General features: G+C 41.1%; 1 protein-coding gene and 1 pseudogene across 33 annotated transcripts in view; one reads left to right on the top strand and one right to left on the bottom strand.

Annotated features, from left to right (window-relative positions):
- Window positions 1-449: 449 nt before the first annotated feature.
- The window catches only part of CNTRL (centriolin), a 102656-nt gene continuing 95373 nt past the window's right edge, over window positions 450-7732 (bottom strand). For 17 of the 33 annotated variants that reach the window (XM_047422667.1, XM_047422677.1, XM_047422670.1 and 14 more), the window contains 6 exons: window positions 6857-6901; window positions 6512-6652; window positions 4551-4817; window positions 4323-4385; window positions 2836-3042; window positions 450-897 (listed from right to left, as the gene is read on the bottom strand). In XM_047422667.1, the coding sequence (XP_047278623.1) occupies window positions 874-897; window positions 2836-3042; window positions 4323-4385; window positions 4551-4817; window positions 6512-6652; window positions 6857-6901 (747 nt within the window). In that variant the 3' untranslated portion in view covers window positions 450-873. The remainder of the gene's footprint in view (window positions 898-2835; window positions 3043-4322; window positions 4386-4550; window positions 4818-6511; window positions 6653-6856; window positions 6902-7732) is intronic. The other 16 variants (XM_047422669.1, NM_007018.6, XM_047422674.1 and 13 more) reach the window with 5 other exon arrangements.
- LOC124902357 (uncharacterized) lies at window positions 1217-1379 on the top strand (annotated as a pseudogene).

The following is a 7732-nucleotide window of genomic DNA, read 5'->3' as shown; positions in this document are numbered from 1 at the left end:
GTGATCTAGAAAAGAGTTCCCGAGAATATTTTAAAACTTCTTATTACATATTTCCCCCTTGGGAATAATTATGCCAGACTGTGAGAGCAGTTGCTATTCTAGTTTTTAAAGAAATGTATACATCATGGAGTTGAGCTGTTAATTATGGTAGTTCAAAATCTGAAAGGCAACACAATTTGAATTTATCACTGGGTCACATTCTCCAAGGTACAAAGTTTTCCTGATTTTCCACCAAAGAATATGTTGGCTAAGGAAAGGCATCTGAAGCATAATAGTTTTATAATTGATGTATTTCCAAATGATGAAATCTTCATTGATAAGTATAATGTACTTCAGCCTCCAGGTAAAAGAAAACCACCTGAAAGATTACTTACTTGGAATAAGGTAAAAATTTGACGGCTTTTCCATAGAATGACCTGTGAAGTGTAAAGTCAGAGGACAGACCCAAGTTGATTGTTATCTTTTATTTTCATATGAAAAATAGATTTTAAGCAAAATTCAAAAATAACTCGACACTATAAATAAAGAGGGCCTTAAGTACATTCTTTTTGTTAATAAGATTTACCAGTTTGTAGGTTCAAATATGCAGTTAAAATCACTGTTTTTTTTTAAACATGTTACGAAGATTAAAAAAAAAAAGGCTCAGCCACATGTTGGTTTAAATTCCCATATGCAACTATTCCCATATGTACTATGTACAAGTGATTTATAAAAACATTGGCATTAATGGTACAGGCAAAGTAAACTACAGTGGAGTTTCAGAATCTCAGTTCACTGCATCTTGATTAAAAAAACCATGTGACATTCCAATTATGAAGTCAGTGAGGTAGTGGAGGTGTTTTCCTTGAATATATTTACACAAGACAGTATTCCTCATCTGGCTGAGGCATTCTTTTCCTACAGTAAGACAAAAGGAAGGATAAATCAAATTCTTGAAACAGTAAAAACAGTCTTAACTAAGTGATGGCATGATGGCTTATAGGTAAATGACATATTTGAGTACCTCTTTGGAAAAATGTTTTAAGATGAACCAGTGTACAAAATTCTGAGAGAAAAAATTAAACGGTTATTCTTAAAACTGCTAAAATTCAAGATCCTCCAATTAAAAGTTCTAGTTTAAAAAAAAATCTGTAACATCTATCCTGTGAGCAGGGATGGCATCAGTGTCAGTAACTGTCTAGTGGTTCTGATGGACCTTGCAGAACTTGCTGGAAGGAGCTCTCAGCCTTTTGACTAAGATCAAGTGTAGTATCTGTTCTTACCAGAAAAAAAGGGAAATAAAATGTTACGCTCAGAAGCCAGCCCCCTAACTTTTAACTAGTTCAGGCTTTTATCCCATATAGGCCTGGATTACAACCCCAGACTTCTAAATAATTCTACCAATCTCGCCCCTACCCACTGTGCGTTGGTTGCCTTTAAAGCAACTAAATAACTCTGGCTGCCACCTTGAGCTGGTAATTGAAGCTGGCTTTTAAGCCCTTGTGCACTCTACTCTTCTCTCACTACTCTGGGCTGTCTCATCCCCAAAGCTTCCCTATTCAATGCCCAGTGCCTCTCACACTCCTCCTCGAACCCTGCCCTAAGGCCCATGATGATTTTGGCCTTTACCTGACTGGGTCCACCACAGATGGTGTTAAGATAATCATATTCAGATGGCCCTGCTGCTAATGGCCCTGCTGCTAATTAGCTGTGTGAACTAGGTAAGTCACTTGCCCACCTTGGGCACATTAAAGAGGCAACTGTCCTTGAAAGCTCCTTGTGGCTCCACCATTAAAATATACTGCTCTGTGGTAAAGATAGATTAGCCCGCAAGTCCTGCTGTTGTCCTTTGCTATGTCCTTGACCAAATCATTTATCATTTTGTACAGATTCCTTATCTATATAAAAGGATAAGTCCTACCTCCAAGGATGTAAAAATTAGATGATATATATAAAGTTTTGTATGTGCACACAATAGGCACTGGAAAATGGAAGCTGTTACCTATCTCTGACAGTTGTGTGTGCTACTACTTACCAGTTCCATGAGTATATTTCATGTTCCTCTTAAATGCTTATTAACCTTATCTAAGCTCACACAGAAAACCTTTGTGAAATTCAGGGTTTTTATAGACCTTAGGTTAAGAGGTCTGAATTCCAACTCTGTAAATGTAAGTTACAAAATGCAGGGAGACATACTAAACTAGGACTCATATTGGCCTCACAGGTCTAAGCTCTTTATATTGACAGAGTAGGAAATAAATAAATCCAGAAGTGGAGGACATGAATAGTAGAATTAACTATATCCCTGCCAGGTCATCCAATCTGCAGTCGTAGTCTGTTTCCTAAGCCATCAGCTTATCTACCTCTACCAAGTCTTTGCTAAGACAAGTTTTTCAGAGAGTTGAAGGCGGCATAATCTATATTTTTCTGAATCTCCTCTAGATTATACACCCCACGGCTTTTAAGTACTTTCTATGTAATATATTAAATCCTATCTTACGAGTTTCCTCTTGGCTCAGCGTGGTGGCTCACGCCTGTAATCCCAGCATTTTGGGAGGCCGAGGCAGGAGGATCGCTTGAGCCCAGGAGTTTGAGACCAGCCCTGGCAACCCAGCAAGACCTCCATCTCTACAAAAAATTTTAAAAAGTGGCCAAGCCAAGTGGTGTGTGCCTGTAGTCCCAGCTACATGGGAGGCTGAGGTGGGAGGATCACTTGAGCCTGGGAGGTCAAGGCTGCAGTGAGCTGTGATGGTACCAATGCACTCCAGCCTGGGCGGTAGGGCAAGACCTTGTCTCAAAAAAGACAAAAAACAACCTCAGGCTATTGTTTTGTTTTTAAAAAGAGCTGCTGCTTACCTGATTTTGTCCAAGTTGAGAGTCCTCTGTGAGGGAAGACTCCAGCTGAGACAGACTGGGTGATGACGCTGAATCTGCAGAGGTGCTGGTGACCAATTCCCCTAAAGCATCTACTTGTCTCCTCAAACTGTGTAAAGTGCCCTCTGTCTGCCGCTTTCCTTTAATTAATACTTCTGCTTGCTTGGACATACAGTGTCGGAGTTGGGCCTGAAAAGTGTGATAAGACTTAGGGTTTTACACAGAAGAAATGTACCAGAACTGCCGCTCAGCTTCCTCACATACATTTGATAGGCAAATCTGGCTAACAGTAGGAATGGCTGTCAAAAATGCTCATCTTTAAAAAGAATTGTAGGAGGTGCCAGGTGGATACTTAGTGTGCATAAACCTTTACTTTTCTGTGTTGTCATTAACGGGGTCTTTCACTTGGCCCAGTTTTTCCATGCTAGCAGTGCTTAGGATTTCTGTATCCCTTGCTTCTCCATTAAATTATTGCCTCATCTCTTTTTTCCTTTTCTGTTATGACTGAGAAGATCAGTTTATACTTGACAACTGGAGTGTCTCCTGATTATGTATTTTTTCCTAAGTCTTAGTTTCTTGTCTATAAATGATTAGGTATTTAATCCTCAACTTCATACTACTTTTTGGCTTTTGCCCCTGCTATAATCAAATTATTCTCTCAAAGTCTATAGCAGCGCTGTCCAACAGAACTTTCTGCAATGATGGGAATGTTCTACCTCTGGCTATAAATATAGAAGCCACTAGACACATGTGGCTATTAAGCACTTGAAATGTGGCAAATGAATAACTGAATTTTTAACTTAATTATAATTTATTAAAATTTAAATAACCACACATGGCTGGAGACTATTGTTGGACATCACAGGGCTCCACTCAATACTATAGCACTGCACTCTCTCATCCCATGCTGTCTACATAGCCATTCCCCCCACATAAATGTAACCTCCCACCTATACTCTTAACTCTCAAATCTTTAGGTCAACACTGATCAGTAATCCTAGACTCCTATTTTTGGCTGCCTACAGACAGATATCCTTCCCTGGATATCTCACAAGGCCTTCAAAGTCAACATGTTCTGAGCCAAACAATTCCTTACCTGACATTCAGCCTACTTTTCCAGTATCCCAAATCTTTCCTGCCACCACTGGCCTATGATAACCTTACAGTTCATCACTGTGTTTCTACTTCCTCTCCCAAATACTTAGATTCTATCGGTTCTAGCTGAGGTAAAGCAGCATTACATAGGTTAAAGAACACTGGAGTCAACACAAGAAGTCATGGTTTTGAACACTGATTGCCATTTACTGTGTGACACCAACTCCTCGAAGCTTCAGACATGCCATCCCTGACACTGCTGGCAGGGCTGCAACAGCATGGATGTGAAAGCATCAGGTAAATGTAACTTTCCCCTCCCCTCCCCAATGTGCCCAGTATCTCATACTGATTTTTTGTTTGTTTTAAAGGGCAACCTTGAGTCGGTCTTCCCGGTGACGCAGTTTCTCCCGGAGTGCTTCTCCACGCCAGTGTTCATCCTTTCTCAGAGGGAAAATAGAGATATCATGAATCATCTGCTGCTACAAATGGAAGCCAACCAGCCTTTCCCTCCCCTACCCCAGCACCCCCACATCTGTGTTTTAGCTTAGCTGGGGGAGGTGGTCAATCCTACGAACCCAGAGAATAGCAGGATAAACCCTTACCATTATGTGAACTTGGGAAAAGTTCAGTTTTTCTTCAAAAGGTCCCTCATTCATGGTAAATGGAAGGTTCTCTTTCAAGCTTTCCAATTCTCCTTCTAGGTTTTCGTTTCTTTCCAAAATAGCTTCTAGATCTGCTGGTAGTTCTGGAAGAAACTGATTAAGATTCTTCAAGCTGGTTCTGATTTCATCCTTCACCTCAGATTTAAGTGTCCTCATTGCATCACTGATTTCCATTTGTCTTCTCTCCAAATCTTTTTGGTTTGCCATCTAAACAGTGAGTTGGTGTCAAATATCATTGTATAAAATTTCAGACTTACTTGGAATTGAGCTGTATGATGTGCCATGTATTTAAAGATCTATAAATATCAACTACTATGATTACTAGAACTGTAAAAACTTGTGATTTTTCAGATACTCAAGACTCTATAAGCTACTGAATAAATTATTTTATTGGCATTTTAACTGGAACAACTTTCATTTAGAAAAGCCATGTGCATAAAGTTCCTTGAAGGTGAATTACTCTATAGAAGACAATCTCTTTGGAGTCAGACAAAGCTAGTTACCAATCTGATTTCCAGTATTACCAGTATGACAGGGCAAGTTGGCTAACATCTGATCCTCCATTACCTCATTTATACATGGAGATAAATACCTTCTGCTCAGAAATGTAAAAACTAAGTGAGAATTTACATGAAGCACCTCAGTGGCACCCAACTGGCAACTAGAGTAAATAAGCCACAAATGAGAAAAGGGCCATTTACTGAAATAAGTCATAAGTGATCTGGATTATAAATGCTAATGCTGGAATTTTATAAGTGAAGAATCTGGTGGCTTGGCAATATACATTTTTGTTTTGTTTTGTTTTTTTAAAGACAGGGTCTTGCTCTGTCACCCAGGCTGGAGGGCGGTGGCACAATCTTGGCTCACTGCAGTCTCAACCTCCCAGGCTCAAGCAATCCTCCCCCCTCAGCCTCCCGAATAGCTGGGACTACAGGTGTACACCACCACACCTAGCTACTTTTTGTATTTTTAGTAGAGACGGGGTCTCGGCATGTTTCCCAGGCTGGTCTTGAACTCCTGAGCTCAAGCGATCCACCTATCTTGGCCTCCTAAAGTGCTGGGATTACAGGAATGCAGCACCGCACCCAGCCTAGAGGTTTCTTAAAGTGTTACCAACTGCATTTGATGCCTGAGACTACTCTATGTGGCTCTACCCCATATAGAGCTTAGTGAAATATGAAATTTATACCTACTGCTAATTGCCTTACCAAATTTGCAAAGGCAAAATCACTAAGGGCTTGTGGTCTTTAAATAATTTTTTTTTGGTTATTTTTTCTTGAATTAAATGGTGGGTATATGTGGGGCATCAGGGGATTGGAAGCACAGATGAAACTAGAATGGCCACGTGGGGTCACCCAAAAGACTAAGTATAGCAGGGCCAAATGAGTGGCTACAGCAGCCCGACTAGAGTTCAGGGATGGCCCAGATGCTCTAAAGGACACCAGAGATATCAAGGATTAGAGACTCTACCAGTCCAGGCATGAACTGGTTTAATACTCTCTGCCTGGCTACATTATGTGATATCAAAGGTTTCCCCCGGACCATCTTTTCTTGCTCAAGGGGTAGGGGAGGTTTTGGCTCCTATAGACTTGTTTATGGCATAAAATCTAGCATTTCAACATAGTTCTTTGGGACATGAAATATGATGCTCAAGAATTACCTTTTTTCCTTGAAAAACTAACATTTTAAGAGCTTGTCAAATTTAAGAGAAATTTATATTTTTAATAGTCAAGGTGTGTTTCTAAATTTTAAGGCTAAAAAACCAGATTTGACTTAAAGAACATTCTTATAATCAGCTTTTCTATACTACTATAGAAGGGATATTAAAAACAATACAATCTGCCTGAGCCCAGTGAGTCCTCTCTCCCCAGGCTGGCCAGCTGGGCTTTCTGGGCACACACCTGTTTCTTGAGCTCCGTGTACTCATACTGCATCTGGTTGAGCTCCTTCATCAGGCGCCTGGCCCGCTCATGGTTGTCCTGGGCTACCAGTTCAATTGTTGCCATTTCCTTTTGTATGCAGCTGTTCTCCTGTTTTTGCTCCTAGCACAGGAGGAAGAAAATAACTCTGCGATCTAACACATGGAGGTGTGGTTTGCTGGCTTACACACTCACTAGCTCTATAACTTCATTCCCCTTCTGGGCCTCAGCTTCTCTAGCTGTCAAATGGGGATAATTCTATCGGCCTTTCATGGGCAGATCAAATACAGCTGGGCGTATATACACGTCAGAGTCTGTTAGCATTACCTTTGATAATAAGCTACTATCCCTTTCTGAGTCTTCATTAATTGTCTGTAAAATGAGAATAATAATACCCATCATCACAGGGTTACTGGTAGGATTAAATTTTAGACATCTATATTCCATCTTTATGACGATCTGCCTATCACTAGTTATCAGCGTATCCCCTTTGAGAGACACACATGGTTTAAAAGTTCCTTTCATACAACAGGGCTCCACTAACCCCTCCAGAGGGTAGTGGAAAAATCCTCCCCCTTGACAGTTCCATTGCTGCTCACCTGTCTCCATCCACCATAAATTATTCTGACCTGAGTGTCACTTCCCAAATTTATTTCAAGGATGAAAGCATGGTAGATTGAGCTTCCTGGTTTTAGGATAATGATTAAAGCTAATGTTGGCCAAAAAGGGCAGGATGAGAAAAATTTGTAGGCACTGACTACAGCAGTGTAATAAAACTGGCTAGGCGCGGTGGCTTATGCCTGTAATCCCAGCACTTTGGGAGGCCAAGTCGTGTGGATCACAAGGTCAGGAGTGCAAGACCAGCCTGGCCAACATGGTGAACCCCGTCTCTACTAAAAATACAAAAATTATCCAGGCATGGTGGCACACGCCTGTAATTCCAGATACTCAGGAGGCTGAGACAGGAGAATTGCTTGAACCTGGGAGGTGGAGGTTGCAGTGAACTGAGATCATGCCACTGCACTCCAGACTGGGCGACAGAGCAAGACTCTGTCTTGAAAATAAAAATAAAAATAAACTCTCTATGAGCCAGGCACGGTAGCTCATGCCTGTAATCCCAGCACCTTGGGAGGCTGAGGCAGGTGGATCACCTGAGGTCAGGAGTTCAGGACTAGCCTGGTCAACCTGGTGAAACCCCATCTC

The sequence above is a fragment of the Homo sapiens genome, chromosome 9 (assembly GCF_000001405.40).
Source record: "Homo sapiens chromosome 9, GRCh38.p14 Primary Assembly".
Taxonomy (NCBI): Eukaryota; Metazoa; Chordata; class Mammalia; order Primates; family Hominidae; genus Homo; species Homo sapiens.
Note: the sequence above shows the minus strand (reverse complement) of the source record. Positions and strands in the feature narration are given on the sequence as shown.